Source organism: Homo sapiens, chromosome 4 (assembly GCF_000001405.40).
Source record: "Homo sapiens chromosome 4, GRCh38.p14 Primary Assembly".
Lineage (NCBI taxonomy): Eukaryota > Metazoa > Chordata > Mammalia > Primates > Hominidae > Homo > Homo sapiens.
Window position 1 is genome coordinate 113,020,368 of NC_000004.12, and position 25,100 is coordinate 113,045,467.

The following is a 25,100-nucleotide window of genomic DNA, read 5'->3' on the forward strand; positions in this document are numbered from 1 at the left end:
TTATTTTTTGTAGAGACAGGGTCTCGCTGTGTTGTGCAGGCTGATCTCTAACTCCTGGGCTCAAGCTATCTCCCCACTTTGCCTCCTCAAGTGTTGGGTTTATAGGCGTGAGCTATGGTGCCCAGCCTGAGGCAGTCTTAACGATAATTTGTTTTTTCTGATCAAAATCTACCAAAATGGCCGGCTGCGCTGGCTCACGCCTGTAATCCCAGTACTTTGAGAGACCGAGGTGGGTGGATCTCTTGAGGTCAGGAGTCCAAGACCAGCCTGGCAAACATGGTGAAACCCCGTCTCTACTAAAAATACAAAATAGCCGGGCATGGTGGCATGCACCTGTAATTCCAGCTACTCGGGAGACTGAGGCAGGAGAATTACTTGAACCCAGGAGGTGGAGGTTGTAGCAAGCCAAGATCACGCCACTGCATTCCAGCCTGGGCGACAGAGTGAGACTCTGTCTCAAAAAAAGAAAAAAATCTACCAAAACAAGAAAAGAGCTTAATGAATGTATTTGAAAAATAGAATAGTGTAGCAGTCCATTTAGAGGATAAGGATATAAAATCAGGGTATTGCTTTGTGTTCAGGAAACAGAGAAAATAAATGATTTTTCTTTCTTTTTAGACTTTTTCACAGATATTCATTTGTTATGAGGCAGGGGCTATAGCATTAATTAATAAATAATAACAGCATGGAGCATATTCTTTGGAATGCAGTTCATGGCTTCTTGCCTGGGACAGCAGAACAGCTGTTTCTGCTAAATTACTGGAATGTGAGAAGCAGTGATGTAAACCCTTCAAAAGCACAGAGAGGGAAGGGCTTTTTTTTCTGTCTCTTGAATTCCAATGAAAAGAAGCTTTTATACACAGAGAATTCAGAGTGCCCTGTACTCTTGGAACATAACATTTCTTCTCCCTTGCATATTCCCATTATTCAGCTAGGTCGTTAGTGTGAGTTGTTTTTAACAGCTTCATGGGTCTCTAATGATCAAGCTGAGATCAAGTTTGCCAAAATGACTGACCACTTATTCCAGTGATGGATCTAATGTAGTCTCTCACTTTCCACTCTTGTTTCAAGACAATATGGCTTTAAGTAAGAATTTTCCATATATATAAGTACGTATGTGTATGTGTATGTATATATTATGTGTATATATACACACACACACCCACACACAAACATATATATATATATATATATATATATATATATATATATGCCAAGGAGCCTTATTTTGGGGTGTCGTGTTCTGAGCCCCGACACTGTCTTTATAAGGAGATAACTTTCTGAAATATATGCAAGTATTTATGATTCATTGAATGAGATATTTATTACGCATTTATGAAAACCTCTGTACTTCTCTATGTGTTTGTTAGTTAATTCGTGTTACATATAAATATGCATTAAGTAATCTGAGCCACAGCTTTTGAGGAGCTTGGAATCTAAAGAATCTAAATGGAAAGAGACAGAGATGAAATTGTTTTAAGAATTAACTATGTTTTAAAATATTAACAATAACGAAAGTAATGCTTAAAGAGCATAACCTTCAGCTTCCCACTTTGAAGCTGGCAGTCCTAGCATGGCTTTCTTCATCGTCCATTTCCCTCTTTTTAAAACCTTCAGAGCCTTTAAATGTTTCCCCCATTTGGGTAATTTTATATTAATATGTAAACCTTGACATAAAAATTTGGGGATTCTTTGGTGATTAGGGGTCTAGCAAGTTTGCTTCTACACACAGAGAGAGAGACAGACCCTACCTGGGAAGGGAAAATAGGGCAAATTATCAATTTGTCCAATTAGTGTTGCTGGACATATGTATTTGATAATACAAATAAATGTCGAGACTAGTATTTCTTAGCAAATTCAGCCACACAATTCCCATCTTTTATGAAATGCATCCTTTACCAGATTGGAAACTAAGAGGAAAAGCATTACTTCTATTAAAATCAATTCTAGTTTCCCTTCCTAAAATTGGGCATTACTTATCTACATCATATTTGGTACGCAATTCCAGGATAATCACATTTTCCAACTGGACAGGGCTCTAGTTCAAATGCTTCACCTTTCACAGTGACTTAGAATGGTTTAGAGATTTATCCAGTGCCTTGTTCTTGGTGAGTCTAGCATCTTAGTCGCATCCTGTAAGCACTTGATCATTGCCTGCCACTAGACACTGAGTGTACATGGAATTTTAGGGTATCGTTCATTCATTTACAGCTTACCATAATAGGAAAATTTAGAAAGTAAAACTATAATTGCTACCTATTCTATTAATCTTGCTGACATTCTAATTCACTTACCTTGAAGAATTTAAGCCAGCAGATTTGGTGTCATAAGAATCATGGACTATTTTTAGCAAAGACTTCATATCACTTTTCATTGACTGGATGATGCAATGATGAGACTTGAAAAATTAGCCAAATTCCCATCATTGTGTTTTATCATCCTGATGGAAGCAATGCTGTTGAATTTCAAGAGGTTAGCATAATCAATACAATGAAGTTACAGCAAAAGGGGAGATGTCTCTATTATTGAAGTTTTACAAAAATATTAAATGTTTGGATTGATTTTTTTTTTAAATTGCACACACATAACTCTGTGGAGTGTCTAATAGTCAAAAATAGGTTGAGTGTGATCAGGATAAATAGCTAATGCATGTGGGACCTAATACCTAGGTGATGAGTTGATAGGTGCAGCCAACTACCAGGGCACATGTTTACGAATGTAACAAACCTACACGTCCTGCACATGTATCCTGGAACTTAAAATAAAATAAAATATTTTAAAACTAGGTTGAGTATGAATGAGAGGGAAAACAGAAGTGAGCCAGTTCATAATTATAGGCTAAAGATTATAGTGAAATCAGATCACATCTTACATTTCACATTATTTTTTCTGTACTTAGACATTAAGCCCTCATTTCGTTTCACAAACTTCCCACCAATGATCTAACCCAGCAAGATTCTGTCCCTGCATGGGCAGCCCCAGCTACCTCAGCCCCGTCTGTGTCCACCTCCCACCCTCCAGTCCATTCCCTTGGCCTCCTCCATCTTTCTCATGCCCATCATGCATGCTCTACCCTTGGGTCCTTGGTGCAGAGAGGTCTACTCTGCCTGGAATGCTCTATATAGATATGCTTGTGGCTGACTCTCTGATTCCTTTCAGGTCCCTGAAGAAATATCATTTCTCAGAGGTATTGTGTCTGACCACAACATCTAAGATAGCACCACCTCTGCCATAAGATAGCACCACCTCTGCTTATCATATGTTGCCTGTATCTCCACCGGCAACATTTCATCTTCATTTATTTAATCGTTGTTTTCTGTCTTCATGTTCATGCACTACACCATAGGCTGTATGACAGCGGGGTCTTTGTTTTGTTCATTGCAACATCTACAGCACCTACATCAGTTTCTGACACTTAGTGGATGCTTCATAAATAATTGAGAGATAATCAATGAATTTTCTTCACGAGAAGATAATTTTTTTGATTTAATCGTATGTATTTAAAACCCTTTCTGTAGAAGACATGCACAGATTGGGGGAACATATTGCAGAACACATTCTTATTGGGGACCCCTCTACACTACAAGAAGATAATTTTGAAAGGCAACAGTGAAGGAAACAGATAAAGTCCCTTTCTTCCTAGGGCTTACAAAATTTGTTTTGTGTGAAAGGTAGACTTCAATTTAAACCTTCCATTATAGTAATGTTACGCATATTCTAGTTCATTAGCACAGTACATAGGCTCATATTAGGCTTAAAGAGACCAAGAAAGAGAATAAAAACCAGAAAAGAATATAGATAAATTCCTTAGTTTGTTAACAGCATGAAATTATATATTTATCAAGAGAGCATGCTCCTCCATCACAGAGGCAGGGTTTAATAAAGAATAAAATATGTTAATATTTTACTCTTAAAGATTACTAGTATACTAGACACTCTCTCAGATAGACACAGGTGAGATAGCCTGTTATTGAAATTTAGGATATTAGATTTATTTTTCCTCATTAAAATTTTTCTCTCTCTAGTTACTTAATTTGTCAATTTGACTGAGAGAAACAAAAATTTTTAAAGGATACAAAAATTTTCCTTGATCTACAAAAATAAACACATGAGACACTATTTTGTTTTTTAATCTAGCACTGTCAAGGGAATACTTCTTATAACAAACTGTACCTGCCAGAAGTTTTGTAACTAAGCAATAGTCACATGGTCTGTGGCTAGCAGGATAATTGCAAAGTACTTAAGGACAAATCATTCCCTTGTGTCTTTGTAATGACTGTATAACTTGTTCCTTAAAGACTCCAATGGCATTATGCAAATTTAAATACACTTCTACTTCCCACTTACAAAGAGCATACAATGAATGCTATATATGAATTATTGTTTGACGCTAGAAGATAACACAATTTAGGTTATTGGTTCTATGCGTTTGTTAGTCACAAAATTTCATGTCCTGTGATAGTGATGAAAAGTAGAATGTTTTATTTAAATATTTATCTTTCCCATAAAAAATTTTCTTTTAGATAAATAAAAAGAAGTCTGTCTTTACATATTATAACTACCTATTCGTGTGAATTTTTTAATATAATATTTCATGGTATTTTTGGCACCTCTCTTTTTGTAGGATACCATTGATTCATTACTCTAGGAGTTTTCTTTTCCACTACAATTGTAAAAAAGCTAAAATTCTGAACATGATCATCTTTTTTTTTCTAATTCTTACATCCATAATTCATGTACAAAGTTCTCCTTAATAGTCTTCTAACTAGTCATATTGATCTTTTCTGCCCCCTGCCCCAATTTTCCTTAAACATAACAGCAGTGTTCTATCTATAGACACCACTCTAAACATGTTGCTGCTCTTTTGTTTTTAACAAGGTAACATGTACAAAATGGCTACCTTCATACACGATGCCCCTCACCCCACACAATGCACATACTGTGATGTAAAAATTGTGACAGAGGAAGAAAGGTTGTATATGTGGATTTGGGGAATCTGCCTGGGTGTCCCCATATTCCATTTCTTTTCTATTACTCCCTCCACACACATTTATTTTGAAGTAGGCCCATCTCCACTAGTATTCTTTACTTTGTCCAAACAAATGTACGTTTCTCTTTGTGCCTTATGGATAAACTCCAAATTCCTGGCACATAATGTTCCTTCTATTCAAAACCTTGCTAAAAATCAATCTCTTGACACTTTCTAAGGCTTCTCTTCAATCATGCCTTCATTCCTTCAAAATGAATGCAACTCTCTCCATATGCAGTTGTAATTAGCTTTGTACATTATGTTTCTTGGCTTCTTGTGAATGGCTAATGAGTACCTCTCTCTTTTTCTCTGTGAAATTTATAAATTTAAATTGCTAAGGAGATCTGAGGGTGGAGGGGAAGGGGGTCTCACTCTGAGATCAGAAATTGTTTTGTGAAAAAGCAGCTTTTGAGAGATGTAGAGGTATGGGTAGTATAACTAATGTGGAGGAATGGCTGCTATACCTGATAGCTATGTCACTTTAAGAAGTAGGCAATGATATAAAGGTGAACTTATGTAGATTATGTCACTTTCATGGGCATTTTAATTTTCTAGTTTATAAAATGTAAAACAGAAACAGCAGGTTAAGTAAATAAATGAAACTGGTTGGGCCCAAGAATTGCTTGCTTTCTTGGTCATTTTGCACTTTGGCATTCAATAGACAAAGCGTATATGGTACATTTATTTTCCCTCTTTACTATAAGGAAACAACACAAATGCCGTAATACGTGGCCACGGACACTTGGGACCTGCTATGTGGAAAGCAAATGCCCTATTTAAAAAGGACCGCTGCAATTTAGTTCTATCTGTTGTCATGTAGGAATGGGAGCACAATATTGACAGACTGGAGTTTTCAGAAGAAGTAAGCAGATTTTTATATGAGATCTCCTGACTTCTAAATGTGAATTCTAACAAAACCCAAACCCCAACCATGTGGACTGAATGAAACACAACAAAGCCATATCCGGCCCACAGATTGCTGTGATATATGTCCTGAAGATCCTTTCTGTGCCAGAGAACTATGATTTTAAATTCCTTGATAACAGAAACCGTGTCTACTCTTTCCTCTTCAACTATATCAACAAAGCATTTTAACTGGAGATCAACAACTGATCATCAGATATTTTTATCACATCAAAACTTTCATTGGATTGAATTTTTGTAGGAAATTTTGACCTATAGAGGTATTTTCAGTGGACAGGGAGCATTGGTAATTCTGAGGACAACTATTTATAAGAAAAGGCTCAAATGCTGAACTGTGGAACATAGAAAAGATTTAGTAGCATGCAAAGAAAATAGATCGAAGTAGCTGGAGAGAATGGGATCATGTCTGGGAGTGCAGGACGATGAGTAATCAAGGAAAAGGGAGTTATTCATAATAGTCAGCTCTGCTGACTGGCCTTTTGAAGGAAAAAAATAAAAAATGATTAGTATAGGGAAGAAGCAATTTGATTTGGCTTAGAGGAGGTTATTGGAAACCTTGGAAAGGGTGGCTTTTTTCAGTAGTTGGGATGGAAGCCAGACTGGAGAAGGTTAAAGGGATTAGAGGTGAGAAACTGGGAGATCCAGAGGTATGCTGCTTTTCCAGGAGGTTGGACACAAAGGAAGAAGGGCTGGGGTGAGAGTGGAGGAATCCATCTGTTTCAGTGAAGATGGCGTGCTGGATATGGGGAATACCTGTGCATGCTTGAAGTTGGATGGTGATACATCCTCTTCATTGTCCTTGGTATCTTGGAAAGTAAGTGATTGTCTCCTTTTGACTTGCTTATCTTGCATATGCGAACCCCTCTATGGTGTGTGAATAAACTATTTTGATAGTTTTTGGGTGGGATGATTAATAAAGTTATGACTCATTATTTGTGTATATTCAGAAGTTCAGTACCATCGCTAACTCACAGATTACAGAATATACGCTATCTCTCCTGTGTCTGAAAATCACTCTAGTCTGTAAGCACCTCCAGATCCCAGGAATGAATCCTTAAAGGCAGGTTATGCTTCAATAAAGTTACTGTGGGGTCAGTCTGAGCCAAGAGTGTTCTGTGATTATTTTTGCTGATTGTTCAGAACCTGATCTCTGCCTGTTTACCTGCAGCCCTTCTACTGAGTTCAGTGTCTGTCTTCTTCCTGGGGCCACCATTATTGGAGCGGAACCATATGCTTCTGCCCTGGAGACTGCAGCATTATATCAGGATGCCAAGAGCTAAGGAAGAGCTCATGTCCCCAGGTGTCTTACAGCCATTTCCTTTTATCCCTATTGAATGTTATGGCACACTTCCATGTTCACAAATTTAAATATTCCTGCTGGCCTATTATTTGCAGAAAATTAAACGTAACTGCTGATTGGGAAGTATATAAATAAATATAAATAAATAGAAATCTATCTATTTGTTGAAATTTTCTCAAAAACAAAGCTCACATAGAGGAAGGAGACTAGTGGCTTTATTTAGAAATGGTGATTTTGGATGAAATGATTGATTTTTTTGTTTACAGTACACTATCAGGTTATGTAACATGGTGACATAATTTTGTTTACGTTAAAAATAGCAAAATAAGATGGTGTAAAATGTGCATTCCCCTGACTTCACCATTTATTTATTTCAAATATTCTTCTACTCTGGTAAAGCTATTAAAATAGGTGACTGATGATAATCCATCAAACAAACATTTATTTAACACACACTGTGGATTTTGCCTTGGTGGCAATGGTAAACAATTTGCACATTTGCTTGTATCTAGTAGGGGATGTGAGCAATTAAGCAACTGCAATAGAGTGCAGCAAGTGCCATAAAATACTATGAGAGCACAGAGTAGGCAAGCACCTGATCCAGTGGGACAGAGGCTTCTCAGAGGTAATGACCTTTGGGATGAGACCTGGGGGAGGTGTAGAAGGTAGCCAAACAAATGTGGTTCTGAACAGAGGGGAAAACAGGTGAGACTGTCCAGAGGTCAGTCAGAACACAGCAAGTTAGAAAAATGCAGAGAACACTTGTTATCTCTCGTTCATGCAACAAACACACATATTAAGCACCTATGTTGTGCCAGGCACTGTGCTAGGCACTACGCAAAGGTGACTGTTTCATGATGTTTACTATGCAGTCAGGAAGCTGATACACTAAATAATTGTAGGATGGTATATAAGCACTACAATAGAGACATGTTCTAAGGACACAGTGGAACAAAGGAGTAAAAGCCAATTATCTTTGGAGGTATGAAGGAAGGCTGGAGATTTATTTTGCAACAACTCAAGTAAAAGAGGCCCTTTTTTGGTTTAGGGGCTTAATTTATAAATTGACCTTGTCCTACTAAGATAACATGTTTGCTTTGAAGCAGGTTTTGGGATAAGAAACCTAAAATAAATGAGAAGAATGATTTTATCTGAGACAACAAAAAATGCGTATTGTTTCCACAATGAGGAAAAATGATTCACTAACTCCCGGGTTGCAGGAAAGATACCCCAAAGACCATCTACTTCCATTACATATTGCTGTATGTGAACCCAATATACCCAGTCTCCTCAGGTAGGGGATTGAAGTACTCAGTCAACTCAATCATGGTGTATTAATATAAGCTAATATCTTGGAATAACATGTTGCTACGTGTTCTGTTAGTGCAACTCAGCTTCTAAAGACCTGATCATATCTGGTGTCAACACAATAGAGTGGATTTAGAAGATAAAAATAAAAAGCTGGATTTAGAGTAACTGAAAAAACTCCAGGCACTTTGAACATATACATAAGTGTGGATTATATATTACTTGCTATTAATTCTTAGAAAAATAATATTTTAAGAAAGCAAAATTATTCTAAAGGAAAGACTCATGATAGGAGGATTCGTTTTTTGTTTTTGTTTTTTTTGTTTTGGAAACAGGGCACTCTGTCATCCAGGCTGGAGTCAGTGGCATGATTACAACTCACTACATCCTCTAACTCCTGGGCTCAAGCAATTCTCCTGCCTCAACCTCCTGAGTAGCTGGAACTATAGGCACACACAACTTCACCCAGCTAATTTTTATTTATTTATTTATTTTTTGTAGAGATGGGGTCTTGCTGTGTTGCCCATGCTGGTCTAAAGCAATCCTCCCACCTCACCCTCCCAAAGTGCTGGGATTACAGGCGTGAGCCACTGCGCAGCCAGATTTGGGTATTTTTAAAAGATAGCTATAAATGAACGTGGCCGGAGTTCTTCTTTAGAAAATGAACCTTGAGGCCTCAAGAAACTATAGTAATTAGTGGGTCTGAGGCCCACCAAGATCCAATGAATTGAAGTGAACTGCTCAGAGTTTTATACCCACAGAGAGAGCCCGACCTATTCGTCTCTTCTTGTTCTTGCCAGTGCTTGCTCTCTGTCCATCCATACCTCAGAATGACTGACTTATCTCGACGGCCAAAAACACCACTCTCAAAATGCCCTAGTAGATTAAAGAGGTACAGTTATGGAGATGTCTATTGACCTTTTCTTAAATTTTGTGAGAGAAACAATAAAACATGAATACCTGGTCATTTGATTAGCATCCATACAATTTTACATGGTTCTCATTGTTCTATTTGACATTGGAATGTATAATCTGCTTTACTTTTTAATTTACTTGCTAATAAGATATAGTTTTCCACATGAAAAGTTAATAATTATATTTATTATCTAAAACAAAAATGCAAATTAAAAATCTTGTGTACTATGTGAATTATAAATACCATGAAAGGGCAACAAAATAGGAGTGTATAGAAGGGTAATATTGAAAATGAAGTGTGTGTTTCATCTGTAGAACTAACATAAAATCAGAAAAGAGTCAATTGTTTATATAACTAAAAAAAACCAAATAATATATTAGGGAAGGCTCAACCATTTAGAGAATGGAATGTCTTATGTGTGGCTCACTTGATATCTTCTTAAACAAGGTGGTCATCTCTAGCCTGAATGAACTGTTTAACAAGGAGAATGTTTGACACAAGAACCTACGTAATTTTCCGTAGCTCAATTCCTTACTGATGAGATTTCAAACAACAGGACTGGTTTGGGGCTACCTGATTAGGAGTCTAGAATATGTCTGTCAGATTTGTCCTTGATGCTCAAATTAGGTAAGATCTCAAAAGATAGAAATAAAACTAAAGTAGTTTTAAAAGCAGAGAATAAAAATCCTATACAGAAAAGTGTGATACCTTTTGTAATGTAAATGCAGGATTGGACTCAGTGCGAGAAATGAAGGAAAAGAACAGGAGGAAATCTGTTACAAGCTGAATATGGGTCAGTAATTCACTGCCATTGTTTAAAAAAATCTGCATCATGATGACTATGGCTTATATTATTTCTATGTTTGTGAATGGCCAAGGTACTCTAAGAACTAAAAGGTAAGACTAAAGAATGTTAAAAAAATAATCCAAATAATAGGAAAGAAAGGAAAAGAAGGCCGTAGATGAGTACAGGTTTAAAACATTTCAAAAGATGAGCTGAAAACTGCCTTGTATAGACACTTTTAAGAATAGGAAAAGATTTTTAAGTGAGGGGGATGTTGATCATTTCCACTTTATATTGAGATGGAAGAAAAATGGGCTTGGTGAAAGGAAAAAGACATTTTGGTGGGCTATCAGAGTGATAGATATTATGAGAGACAAAGAGAATAGTAAAATGACCATCCTGGAAAGCTTCACTAAGATAATGAATGGTCATTTTTCTTTAAGATTTAAGATATTTGCTTGCTTGAAAAATACTTAACAGCTGACTTGAATTGTCTGCCAGTTTTGTGACTCTAATTTGAAGTTTGCCAAAAACTCTTTAAAATATATTACAAATTTTAATTTAAAATAAATGGAGGGAAGAGCTATACAACATTAGTATCTGTGAGACTCCTATTAAGATGCATTAGAAAAAAATTACTTTTATAATAATTTATTAATTGGCTCAAAATTTCTCTTTATTGCATTTTTCTGGAGATATTTATCTTTCCCTGAACCCATTCATTCATCTTGCCTTGGATCTATTTATTTAAGGACAGAGAGGATGCCGTGGGGACTGTTGCAGGGTAATGGGCAGATGGGCTGACTTCTTGCTTATTAGTAAGCTGGGATGATCTGACTCTAAACTTCTTCCTAAGGGATAGAGGCACTTAAAATGAGGTTTACTCAATCATGGAAGTATAATTAAAGTAAAGATATTATTTCATCTCCCTCCCTCCCACCCCATTTCTATTTTTTTGGTATTCTTGTTTGACTTGATGACTTAGTGTTATCACTGATGAAACCTTAAGTAGACCAGTGGTTTGTTCTTTTGTTCTTTTGTTATCAGGATGGGACAGATGTAACTGCAGGGTTCAGCAGGAGGTAGCTAGGAGAAGCTTCTCATTAAACAAGAATTGAGAAATCCCATCTGAACACCTCTTCTCCTATTATTTAGTAAATGGAGAACACATGATAAATAAAACAGAGACATTCTTAATATCAAATGCAAGGGTATGCAAAACCTGCAGGAAACTCTATGTGTGCTTTTCTTCTTTTTTTCCATCTTTTTCTTTTTGAAAACAAGACATTTGTATTCACTCAAGTTAATCATAGTGTGTTTTCAGGTAATCATAATTAGATGTAATTACTGTGTGGTCAAGTTATAGCTTAACTCCTCGATGAGCCCAATCGAGTACTTTAGACATAAAGAACTTCTCAAACCCAAACATCCCAAAAATCCTTGACAGGAACGCTAATGCTATCATAAATGAATCAAAGCATTATTTTGATGCTAATTAACAGTTCTACTTACTGTACCACTCTAAGGCTGCACACACTGTTTGAAAAATATATGCAACTTAAATCATAAGCTTGTTTGTTTTTTGAGAGAGAAAGAGATATAGAATGTTTTGGATTCATGTCTTCTTTTGTTGATCTAATTTTTGAATTGGTTTCTAATATAGAAAAGCTGTTGTTAGATGGCGTTGTCCCAGACTTGGGGCACAAACTGTGTGGAGAGCCAAGGAAGGGCATGGGTTAAAAATACAGAATGTGAGGCAGTGGATACTGTCTTGCCTCTGAGTCCTTTTCCAGTGCCGGGTGTTCTTCATTCCCATCTTCACCCTTTTAACTGTTATTACAGGGGGATTCCATGAGGAGAGGGTAAACCCTTAAATTTCCGAGTCTGGTACTGTTGGTGTTGGGACTCTGGAAACAGAGTCTCAGGAATGATTATATGGTCCTCACATCTTTCACTTAGCAATGAGTAAGTCTGTAACATGACTTTGAGGTATTGCCAAAAAGCAGCTACTTCTGTTATTCAAAGTCAGTGATACCAGTGAAAGATTTAAAAATCACTTTAGAGAGAAGGAAAGGACTCTTTTACAATTAAATGCGTTGTATTTTTAAATATATTATTCCAAGAGACAGTCACCCTGTAGTGTTTTCCCCCTGATGGGATAGTGCTCCTAGGCTGAGTTAGAATACTCACTCAGGTGCTTGTAGATAGATCTTTTCTGAAAATATCTGCTATCAAGCTTTTAGATGAAACATTCTTCTACCCAGGAAAGCATAGAGTTTTTCTAGAGAAATCCGATTTTGGAGTGAGCTTTAGGAGCTCCCAGCTGACATTCACTATATCATAAAATAGCTTCCAGTATCAGGAAAAGCATGTGCGTCCATGTGGAATCACAAGCACTACTCCATTTGTCCACATTGGGCCGTTTAAGTTGGATTACACTTAAGAAAAATTAAATGGTCTCTCTCCTGTATTTGCAAAACTACATATTACCTGGCCTTAGGAACTTGATAAATAGGGACCAAGGAATACCATGTTGCCACCAGTGTAGCATAGGATAACATCTCTATTTTGTATTACATGAGGACAGAATGGCTGAGTGTGTACCAGGATTACAACCTCAGAAGTCTTAACTATAGTGTAACCTTCTTATTTTAGAAATTAAGACACTGCAATTCAGGAAAAGTAAGTTGCCCATGGTTATAATCCAATTAGTGGTCGATCCAGGAATGGGATTCTTATGTTCTGCCTCTCCAATAAAGCAGACAAAAAAGCTCAAGGTCTGTAATGGCATGATAGGGGAAAAGTGCTCTTTAAGGAATTAAATCTAGGAAACACAGAGAAATACCCAAACAAAACAAAACTCGTCACACATCAAATGATAAGTTAGTGTTATTGTCACATGCCTAGTTATATCTTTGGAGAAAAGAGATTTATTTCTCTTATAATAGTTACAATTTGAGAAAAAAGTGTGTGTGTGCGTGTGTGTGTGTGTATAAAGTATCAAACTGCAAATTGGTCAGATGGAATTTGTCACTTTTATTACTGCCGTTATCCAATATTATGAAGAATCCCATCCATGTATGCAACTCTTTATGATAAAAAACAAATGGATAGTTTCCATTTAACTAATCTAACTGCCCACTTGTTACTAGCAGTCGACTCCCATATTGACAAACTCCAGCAATCACCTGCCTTGATTCTCTCCTTCTACATTGCCTCACTCCTACACCATAGATGCCTGGCTGTCTGAATTATAGGTAGAACTGTCTTAACTATCTTGAACAATGTGTCTTGGCTTGCTGGCTGAGCCTCCACTGCCATCCAGGTCTCCAGACCCAGTGGGTAGATCTGCTCTTTTCCTGCTTGCTTCATTTTTCTGTATGTTGCCATGCCCCGTTAGCTAATAGAATAGAATGAGTAATTTGCTGGGAATTACCTAAAAAGTTCAAGAGGAAGAAGCTCTGACTCCCAGGAAGACCTGGGTTAAATATTGGAGTAGGAATACCTTGAAGATGGTTTGAGATAGGATTCTTGATAGGAACACCTTAAGGATGACGATTATATCAAGAGCGGAAATCAAGATAAGTTTTTACTGGATCACGAGTGTTCCTTAGATTGGCAAAAAAGAGGAATCTGCTGTTTGTTTATATTTTTATTTAGCTTATAACCTGATGTAGTTTTTCAATTAAACTAATAATAACTGAGTAATCCTGATTTATCTCCAATCTATTCAATTGATCAAGAAATACACACTGTCTGCTTTGTGACCAGAATACTGGAAAGAAAATATTCAGGAGAAAAGACTGCAGACAATATAAAGAAACCTCCTGGGGGTGGTTTTAACTTTCCTAGGTTTAAGTGAAAGTGGGAACACATTTTTCAGTGAGAAGAGAGTACCTTTTTATGCATGTCCTTGAGGGCAAGAATCATGTCTAAATTATCTTTTTATCTGTAGAAAGGAGAAGAGAAGCTGGCACTTAGCAGGTGCATAATAATGTTTGCTGAAGAAATATTGACAATCTTTCTGGGAAAATGTAGAGAGTGAGTAAATTACCTGATTATTTTCCACTTAATGACATCCTTCTCTTTTCTCCACTTCCTGGCTTAGGCTACCATGATGGGGAAATGTAGTTTGGTAACACTACTGGAGTATGAAATTCATTTTCCTATGGAAGAAATGTTTAAAACAACAGTTTAGACATTATTAAATAGACATAATAATTATTTTCCATTAGATGTAATTGAAATAATAATGATTAGATATAATTGAAAACTGTTTTGCAGAGAACAAATGTTTCTGTGGGCTATCTAGGAACTCAAGGCATATATAATGTAATTTCTAGGAACAAGCTTTGTGTTCAAACCTTGAGAACCTCATCGTTTTTCTAACTTGGCTTGACATCTACCTTCCATTTTTTTTCCTTTTTTCTTAAAAAGTAGGCTTTTCTACTATTCTAGATGTTATGAGTCTGTGGAAGAAATAACAGATACCAAGAGTGGCTTTCACTCAGAATAAAATGATATGTATCAAAAGGTACCTTTTTTTTTTTTGGTGTGTGCTGCAGGTGGGTTGGGAAGGGGGTGTTCTGGATTTATCCAGTTGGAAAGAAAATACAGAGGCATATTAAGCAGTTAATGAGAACTAGCTTGTGTGATTAATATAGACAAGAAGTGGCATAGTGATCAAAAGAGAAAGAAAGTTTAATGTAGTTTGCCATTTTTAGAAAAAGCTTCATAGTCAGTTTGGGATTTCAGGTAGGTAGGTTTTAGGGAGATGAAAGAAAAGAAAATAGGTATTTTTTAATCTGGAAATTTTTCACCAGCCCAGGAAAATAGGATTTGATGTTCCTCTTAGAAGCTCTGGTAACTCGTCCTTAATAAAAATTTGATCATACTGTATTTTGATTTATCTATCTCCTTTTATAGATATTCGAGTAAAATGCTTGAAGGCAGGAATGTGTAGATGAATTTAGGCAATAGTTGGAGATGTTTCACCTTTATTCTGAAAATGCTGAAGACTAAAAATTTTTTTATGAAGAATAAAAATACAACTGTCTGGAAATAAGATTGGAGGAGAAAACATGAAGGCAGGGAGATAGCAAATCCTGTTGATTAAAATAACTCAGATAGGAGAGAAAAAGGGGTGGAGCAATAGAGAATGGAAGGAATACCTAAAATGTGTTAACAAAGGAAAAACAAAATGTTTTATACTGGATATGAGAAATCGGAAAGAGGAGAGGGAAAAGTTAATAGACGTTCAAACATAGATTTTAAAATTTTCTGTCCAAATTAGTGGGTAAAACACCATAGCATTTGTACAACTGCCAAAACTGTTTTTCAGGTCTAAATAATTTGCATAATTACTGTCAGCATTTCTTTGTTCCTTCGTTATTTTCCAACTCTATTTGTTGACCTTGAGAAAATTAGTTTCCGTAGTCTCATACGTCTTCCAATGTCTGTGTTTTCTAGTGGAAAAAGAAAAGGGAATTGAAAACGAAGACAGCTACATTACATTTTGTCTGATATTGAATCACTGGCCATTTAATCTGCTCCTTAAAACTCTCTTTGAGTCATTTTTTCCACTTTGAAATGTAGCTTCATAGATTCAAGGACTTTTAGTAGTAAAAAAAAAAAAAAATAGAAAATTATCTAGGAGTTTAGATGCCACATCCAGGACTTGAAACAAACAAAAAGAAAATTATCTAGGAGAAAAATTAGAAAGTAATCACACATTTGAAGAGATACAGAAACTGAGGACCAAGTAAGTTATATGATTTGTTGTGAGTCCTGTTGTCAGTTAAGGACAGCATGAGGCTTAAAATCTGAGTGTGCTGACCTTCAGCCATTGCTTCTGATTGTATACCATAGTGATTTGGGTAAGACTACAGATAATCTTCCAAATGTTTATAATTAAGCTAACTGTTACATCTTGCTACACAGATATGTATGCCTGCAGGAAATTTGAAGGAAATCTCATCTAGTTTCCACTTAAATTTAGACTGTGACACAAAGGGCAAATTCACACTTTGAGCCACAACTGCAAAATAACCTATATTTTTTGAAACTTTCTGTTGAAATAATGTTCTGTAGATTTCTTGCATTTCTGTACATCTTGCAAGCAGAGGCACGGACTGTCTTTGTTCTAGATTATTTTTTTCCAAGATGTTGGTATAGCAAGCAGCACAGAGAAGCAAAAGTCTGGCATGCTTACTAGCCAGTATAATGAAGACAAAGGTTCCCTCTGGAGCAAAGTACACACATACTTATTGCCCACTATAAAAGATTCAGGCTTCCTAAACTCAGGGTTTCTCTCTGGTACACAGCCTGCTGAATGTGCTGGCATCCATCTAGCCTGTACACATTACTTTAATTGGGAGCAGGGAAACTGACACAAATATGCTGATGCTAATGTTACTTGCAGTGGTGTATAATAATACAGCTCTTTGTTTCTGACCTGGGAGTCTCATATCTTCTGCCACAATCTATGAGATTGTAGCAAACTAACTTGTTAACTTGCAAGTAGGATAAGATCTCAGCTCCTTCACAGTTCAACACTTTCTAGGCTGACAGATTTGTGGGCCCAGGAAATACTCTTATAATTGGTTAGGCATAAATAAAATTGGAAATGTTGTAAATCAATGGACATAACTAAATTTTTACTTAGATTTCTACAGTTTTAATTAGAACAGCTTAAGGTCTAAGTGTGGCATTAATATTCTGAGTCTCAACTGATTAGATTTGTGAAATACTATTATACTTAGTTGCTCTCATCAATTTCAATCTTTGTAGCATTAAATGTATTATTATTGTTATACTCTAAATGTTTTTGCAAATTAACAGGCTGGCAAAAGTTATTTTTTTGACACTTATGCAAGATAAACTGGCAAGCAGATACTATATAGTAATTTGTATAGTCAATGTGACCAAAATAGAAGGATTGACCATACTTTGGTTCCTAAGTTTTTTTGTGTAGGACTTGATGAAATTTCTTGAGGAGGATTGTTTTTCCTACTTGAATTTGGATACTCTCCAGGTCTGATTATCAGCACATTATCAAGGCCCAAGTCACAATTTGTTCTTGGTAGTTAAGCAAATTAAATAATTAAAGTAGGTATTTTCTGTTCTAGTGTTACTGTAAGCCAGAAACATGAATAAGGCCTAAATAGAAGAGAACAAGGGAATTTATCAGTTATATAGGTTTTGTTAAGGTCCAGCACAAATGATATCCAATATTTATGTAAATCAGAACTAAAGACTAAATTCTAGACTGCAGTAGCAGGTTGTTAACAAGTTAATAAACTTTCTTCCAACTCTATTATGTGTTTAATCATTTTCCTAGTATAGAGTTTGAAGCTAACAAACAATAATTATGCTTGCACTACATGTGTCCCTTTTTAGACATTAGTTCAAATTAGTTCTAAGTTATGATATACTTTTGTTTCATTTTTAAGCTTGTTTTTTAATTATCTTTTTTTTGTATAGAATTTAAGGCTGTTACGAGGTCATATAGATGTTACGTAGAAGAGGAGGGGCCAAGGAGAGTGAAAAGAGAGAGGCTAAAGAAAGTTCAAAAAAAGCTGCACTGTAGTTTAATATGAAAGAATTCCGGTGAATTGATTAGACAGTAGCTCACATTCAGAAAGCAGGATACGTGAAACTCATCTTTGAAGATCAACAAAGACTTTTTTTTGAGAAGAAATAGTAGCGTTTGACCCAGTAATATGTAATCATTTCAGAAATTCATTGATAACTGTTTTTTTTTAAATGAATAAAGGGAATGCAGAACATTGCAGTTCTGGCTAGCAGAGTCTGTTCCTTTGGGAAAAGACCCCCTTAGTATAGTACGCAAAGTCAGCCTGTCTGCTTTCTCTCTCTCTGGCCTACTTTACTTGCTGGCCATCTGTGGCCTAGTACATTTCCCAAGATGGCTCCCCTTCCATATGCTCTTCAGCAATGTGACCTTTCCACCTACCCCTCAACAAGAGGTGGCGTCGATTTCTTCACCCCTTGAATCTGGAAGGGCCCTGTGACTGCTTTGACCAATAAAATATGGCAGAGCCCTTAATTGGACAGGCACTTGCCATTTCCTGGCCTCTGGGAAGCCAACTGTAATAAAAGAATGCAACTATGTTCAAACCACCATACAGTGAAAACCCAAGCCATGTGGAGAGGCCTTGAAGAATGAAATGCCACATGGGAAGAGAGAGAGAGCAACAAGCACCAAGAAATCAGGTATGTGAGTAAGGATGCCACAGTAGGAGTAGATCCTCCAGCCTGAGCTGCCCCAGCTGACACCACATGTATCAGAATGAATCAGCCAGGTGAGCCCTTCCTTAATCCCCGACTCACAAATTTGAGAGAAAAATGAAATTATTTTAAGACAGTAAGTTTATGAGGTATTTTGTGAGGTAATAGGTAATTAGAATGCCACCATTCCTGACTGGATGGTAGTTAAAAGTTAGAGAACACTAAAAGGTAATAAACACTTTCTGTTGATTTTTTCTTTTACTAAATGGAAGGAATTTTAGTGGTCAGTCATTAATTATTAATTCACAAGAGTGATAAGATAGTAAACTGACTTCCTTTGCCATCTATTTTTTTTAATCATAACTATTTAAAGTCTCCTTGAAGTTTTTATGTTCGTATTATCTTTGGTTTCCACCATTCTTGAGATTCTTTGGCAAAGGGTAACATTGTGAAAAACAGGCTCATCTCCAAGTTAATCCTTTTTTGCCTTCTTCTCCTTTGATTCCATTATAGAAACCCCTGATCTTAACTTGGGGTATTTTGCAGCATTTTGCAAAACAACAATAACAACAAAAAATCGTTTTCTCTTATTCAGCTCTCTACTTGTAATGCCTGAAACATCTGAAACATTTCTGCCTCATAGATAATGATTTACATATTTTTTTTTTCTCACTCTCAGAGCACTGAGCAATTGCTGGGCCTATGTGTTTGCTGAGGAGTGGGGGCTCCTGAATTCATTTTAGCCGAAAGACACCCCACTAGAATATATTAACACTGAATTAGGAATAAGAAAACTGAGAATTTAGTTCAAAGTGCCTAACTGTATATGCAACCTTGAGTAGGTAACATAGCCTAGGGGGTTCCAATTTTCTTACTTACTGAGAGGTAGGAGCTGGATACAATGGTTTCTAAGTTACCTTCTAACATTGGGATTCTTTGTCTTCTTGTAAATTCCATCACTCCATGGGTACATATCTTTTAAAATATGATTTACATTTATAATGGACGTAAATATGGAGGCCCTAGGTTATTTGTTGACTTTTTATCAATGGGCCCGGAGTTTTTCTTTTGTTAAAAGAAAAAAATTTGCGATAACTTATTTTTAAGCTGGTTTAAGATAGAAAATGTTTACAGTAATAAATTAAGTTGCCCCTGAAAAAATATGTCTTTCAAGGACACGACCTGCCCCAATGTGCTATTTATTTGCATTTACAGGAAAACCCAATTATAACAGCTATTTTCAAGAACTAATATCACTAGAGACTGAATGTATAGTAGAGCAAGCAGATGATAATGCGTCCTAAAAAACTGACCTAGCCGGGAGCATGTACATGGTGAGCTCACCCACATTTTGTTATTCTTCAGTGAAATTCTACGTTTCATCTAAAATATTGTTGCTGATATTTATGTAAAATAAGACATAGTTAATCACTAGGCTAAATTTAATATTTGTCTCAGGTGAAGTGAGGTGTTAAAATTGTATGTTATGATTTCCAAAAGTTCTCTTTTTAGATTGCACAGGGTAAATTTTGCAACCAAATTACCTCTGTGGTAAACCTTATGTTGGACTGGTATAAAGCGAAAACAAGCAGGTCCCTAAACAATTGCTGCTGCTGCTGCTGCTGCTTTAAAATCCATCTCAGTGAAATCTTGATTGAGCTGGTTGCAATTCAGGAAGGAGACACTCCATATTTACATCAGACACAAAGATCTTTCCTCCCTTAATCATTCACTGAGGGGAGTAGTTGTTTAGTGGACTCATTTCTCTCTGGTCTTTTACACCTTAAGCAAGAATTTATGGCTCCTTAATTTCAAATCATAGCAGGTAAGATATAATGCCACCTTTTAAAGCTCATCTGTGTGAAGATGACCAAGGTGTAAAGGCTACTTAGTGAGGTGGCATGAGTCCTGGGTCCTGTCTTCCCTATGCTAACTAATTGTGGTACCTTGAGAGCAGTCCCTAATGTTTTTGGGTCTTGTTCCCTCCTTTGTCAAATGAAATGGATTTCACAAATTTTTCTTTGAGAGCCCTTCCCCATGTGAGACTTTTGTGATGATGAGGTCTCTTTCTGTTTAGGCAAGATGCCTTCCCACTGTCCTCTTCTTGTTTCTCACTTCCTCCTAGGACTTGTGAATATAACATTTTTGGTGGTGACAGACTAATGCATCTGTCCACCCCTCATCATCATCTCTCTACAGGACTGCTGTTATAGACTCTTAGATACCTCTCATCATATCCATTCGCTGCTTAGTTCCCATTCAATAACTCTTTATAAGGAATGCTCTTTACAAAAACTTCAGATTTTATCATTTCACTTATTTCTTTAAACCATTAAATGGCTTTGATGGCTTTTAGGTCTAAATCCCGAATCCTTAACATGGCCTGTTGAGCTCTTCACTCCCTGCATCTCTGGCATCTTCCCATGCCCCACTCTGGTTTAATTTAAATGTGCTGCAATAAGCACACATGATATATTTTACTAAGGAACCACTGGTAATATCAGGCTGAGGATGTTGCTGGGTGTGGCTTCTCAAATCTCTCCAGCTCTTCATGGGAGATGGGCTCAGTTTGGTGGTCATGGAATTCTTCTTGCCTAGGCATAAGACTGGTTCTTCTATCTCCAAACATATTCCCTGAAACTTCAGAGGAAGTGTGTTACATGGTTGCAAAATCTGCCCTTTTTAGCCATATCACCAGTATATAACATCCTAGTTTTAGGGAAATATTTTCCATAAGCTAACAGGGCCATCTTACTACATGGTTCACAAGGTATGTAATAATGATTAGGTATGACACATGGATACTATATTAGTTTAGGCTGCTGTAACAGAATACTATAGACTGGGTGGCTTAAACAACAAACGTTTATTTCTCATAGGTTTGAGGACTGGAATGTTCAAGGTCAAAGTGCAGGCAGAGTCAGTGTCTGGTGAGGGCCCAGGTCCACTTTCTGGTTTGCAGATGACTGTCTTCTCATTGTATCTTCACATAGCTGAGAGACAAATAATCTTTCTTCTGTTTCTCCTTAAGGGCACAAATCTCATTCATGAGCAGTCCACGCTTATGACCTAATTACCTACTCTGATAGTTAATTTTATGTGTCAACTTGACTGGGTTAAGGAATACCCAGATAGCTGGTAAAACATGATTTCTGAGTGTGTCTGTGAGAAAGTTTCTTGGAAGAGATTAGCGTTTGAATCAGTCAACTGAGTAAAGAAGATTCACCCTCACCGATGTGGGCTAGCACCATCTACTCCATTGAAGGCGCAGATAGAACAAAAAGGGAGACGAAGGATGAATTCTCTGCCTTCTTCAGTTGGCACATCCATCTCTTCCTGCCCTCAGACATCAGTTTCCAGTTCTAGGCCTTCAGACTCCAGGGCTTACACCAGCCTCTCCACCCTCACCCTGGTTCTTGGAGTCTCAGGCCTTTGGCCTCAGCCTGAATTACACCACAAGCTTTCTTGGTTCTCCAGCTTGCAGGTGTTTTATTGTGGGACTTCTCAGCCTCTGCAGTGGTATGAGCCAATTTCCATAATAAATCCCCTCATCTATTTATCGCTATATATCCTGTTTGTTCTATTTCTCTAGAGAACTCTGACTAATACACCTCCCAAAGGCCTTGTCTTCCAACACCATCACATTGGGGGTTTGAATTTCAACATGTAAATTTTGCAGGGACACAAATGTTTTGTCAGTAACAGATACCTACGCGGGACACTGAGAGTCTATGGACAAACATGCTTGCTGATACTTTTAGGCCTAGGATGGAGTCACTACTGCAGGCCTGGCTGGAAGCTACCATTCAACTATGTGGGCCTCATCTCAGTTCTGCCAGTGTCATGGTCTTTTCCACCAGAGGGCATTCTCCAGTGCTGTTGTTTTTGCTCAAATTATTCTTTAACTCCCACTTACACCTTCCTTTTCATTTAGATAATTTCTATTTACAGCTCAGATCTTCTCAGTTTACAAGCCACTTTCTCTCAGAGACTTTTCTTGTTCTTTCAGACTAGGTTTGGTGCCCCTGTTTTATGCTTCTGTAATACCTTATCTCCTACAGAGGGTGTTACTGTATTTCTGGTTCTATGACCATCACTAGCTTTAGATTGTAAGCTCTGTAAGGAAAAAGATTATCTAGTTCATGCCAAAGCCCCAGTAACTAGCATGGGGTCCAGCATATAGTAGTCAGTGACCCCCCAAATATCTGTTGGATGAATAAAGGAATAAATAAATTTAGAGGAGAAAGACATAGGTGAGAGGAACAAAAGGATCTCAAGGAGGGAGAAGAAGTACTTCTTGCTGATGCTGATGGTGTAACTACTAAGAACTGGGAGAAATAAATAAAAAAGGCCTCTTGCCTGGCCCATGATCCTCACTTTAGCTTCCAAGGAGGTGGAACTACTAAATAGAGTCCTTCCAGGTCTTCTATGGAAAAGAAGAAGTATAGACTAACACTAGGACAGACACTTGGCAATTCAGGGAGGGCACTGGAGGAGAGCAGTCCCCAGGCCCAGAAGTAGATCTGACCCCAACTCTGTGTACATTCCAACAAATACCAGGGGCTTTAAAAAAAAAAAAGAGACAGGGTCTCACTATGTTGCTCAGGCTGGTCTTGAATTCCTGGGCTTAAGTGGTCTTCCTGCTTTGCCCTCCCCAAAGCACTGGGATTACAGGCATGAGCCACTGTGCCTGGTTGACCAGTGGCTTTTTCATTGTGAATTTTGGGAAGCTGGATTTTCTCTTTGTTATCTTTATATTCCATATCTTTTCCCCACTGATAACAAAAGTATAAAAAAGAGAGAAAAAAGAATTCTTAGGGAATGTCAAAAAAGTCATGTGTTTGTTTGTAAGACAGGCAGGCATTCTGTGTTTACATTCTCAGTGAGTCAAGAAGGGAGACTACCATGGTCAGAACAATGACTTTTGGCAACAAAAGGACACAAAGGATTTATTGAGGAAGAGAGGCAGGAGGAAAAGGAAAGTGGACAGAAGCTGCTCTGGGATTGTGATTCTATAGATCTGGCAGGCATTCCTTTTTGCTACCCACCCCTAATAAACAATATTTTTCTCCTCATCTCTTCTGATCTCCCTGTAATTCCTTTTGGTTCCCTTTCTTACCAGACTAGTGCCTTTAATACAGGACATAGGATCAATTTTCAATAGCTAAGAATGTTGGTGCAATGGGAGTATCGTTCACATAACAGACATCCTAAAGTGGAAATATAACTATGTATTCCCTTAAAAACATGGGTAGATATGGTTAGTTACCATAGGCTAGCTGTTTTCATAAACAACACCATAATCTCAGTGATTAAACTCGCATGAGAAAAAGTTACTTGTGTCCTATGAGGTTTAATAAAAAAGGGAATAAGAAGGACTCTGCTCCACACAGTAATTCAGGGATTCAGCCTTTCCCCAGTCTTTGCTCTTCCACCTTCTAGGTTTTGTCTGCCTGTGTATTGAGCTAGCACATGAATAGAGATTACTCATGGGAGGGTTTATTAACTAGGCTTCAACGTGGCGTACACTTCCACCTACATTCTACAGGTTAGAACTAAATCTCAAGGCTGCAACCAACTATAAGGGAGGATGGAAAATATAACTGTACTAGTTTCCTAGGGTTGCCATAGCAAAGCACTACAAACTGGGTGGCTTAAAATAACAGAACTGTATTCTCTCACAGTTATGAAGACTAGAAGTGCAAAACCACGGAGTCTTCAGGGCTATGTTCCTTCTGAAGGCTCTGGAGAAGGACCCTCCCCTGCCTCTTCCCAGCTTTTAGTGGTTGCTGGCAATCATTGGCATCCCTTGCCTTGTAGCTACATCACTCCAATTTCTGCCTCTGTCTTTGCATGGCCATCTTCTCTCTGTGTGTCTCTACATCTAGTTTTTTCTCCTCTTATAAGGACACCTGGTCATTGGGTTAGCCCACCCTAGTTCATTATGACCTCATCTTAACTGGGGCTTGAACATATCTTTTAGGGGGACACAGTTCAATCCACAACAGTAGTCTAGCTATGTGTCCAAAAGGAAAAAAAAATGCTTTGGTGTCCCCTATTGGATCTTTGCCAAGTTAAGATTTTCTACCATAAGTAATAGTGAGTGGGAAAGCCTTTTGAGGGCTTTAGAGAACTGAGATTTTTTAACATAGTTTCTGTGAAAAAATGTTTGTAACAACAGACAACTCTTGACTCACAAATGGAGATAATCTACCTGTAAGACATCAAGGCTTTATACTTCAGAGAACTTTACCTCACTCAAATAATGTTATGAATTTAAATAGTGTGTTAGAGTTCTTAATACTATTAACACTCATGGTTTAATAAAATAGAATAGGCATATGAAAATTAGAATAATCACCTCTAAAACTCCATGCCTATAAAATATGCTTAACAAAACACCAATAAAGACATCTTCATATTTCTGCCTGGGTCATTGTCATCTGACAGCGGTTTCTTTTCCTGGCATTTTCCATCTTAGTCTTTGTCCATCTTATACTTTATTAAGTGGCTGCTTTTCATTGAAGCCAGCTATGATTTAATAAAAGAACAACAGCCTTCAAATCTGATGAACTTAAGCTCTATATCTTAT

The 25,100-nt window shown here is 37.2% G+C and overlaps 1 protein-coding gene and 2 long non-coding RNA genes across 46 annotated transcripts in view, besides 1 other annotated feature; 2 read left to right on the forward strand and 1 right to left on the reverse strand.

Annotated features, from left to right (window-relative positions):
* The window catches only part of ANK2 (ankyrin 2), a 678,115-nt gene that overhangs the window by 314,746 nt on the left and 338,269 nt on the right, over positions 1-25,100 (forward strand). The gene's annotated exons all lie outside the window — the stretch shown is intronic.
* On the forward strand, positions 1,157-7,409 carry LOC124900761 (uncharacterized). Its single transcript, XR_007058234.1, has 2 exons — positions 1,157-6,767; positions 7,122-7,409. It is a non-coding gene; the product is annotated as an uncharacterized LOC124900761 (long non-coding RNA).
* Positions 3,991-4,528: an enhancer, noted in NCBI's record as "NANOG hESC enhancer chr4:113945514-113946051 (GRCh37/hg19 assembly coordinates)". NCBI's record gives its function as "activates a minimal SCP1, AML or CMV promoter by ChIP-STARR-seq in naive H9 embryonic stem cells {active_cell/tissue: H9 hESC(naive)}" and the evidence as "EXISTENCE:reporter gene assay evidence [ECO:0000049][PMID:30033119]".
* Positions 9,032-24,462, reverse strand: ANK2-AS1 (ANK2 antisense RNA 1). Of its 2 annotated transcripts, none has more exons than XR_007058232.1 (4): positions 24,191-24,462; positions 15,626-15,726; positions 14,316-14,427; positions 9,032-9,437 (listed from the first exon to the last, which is right to left on the reverse strand). It is a non-coding gene; the product is annotated as an ANK2 antisense RNA 1 (long non-coding RNA). The 2 variants fall into 2 exon arrangements; XR_001741419.3 differs by lacking the exon at positions 9,032-9,437 and adding an exon at positions 14,131-14,210.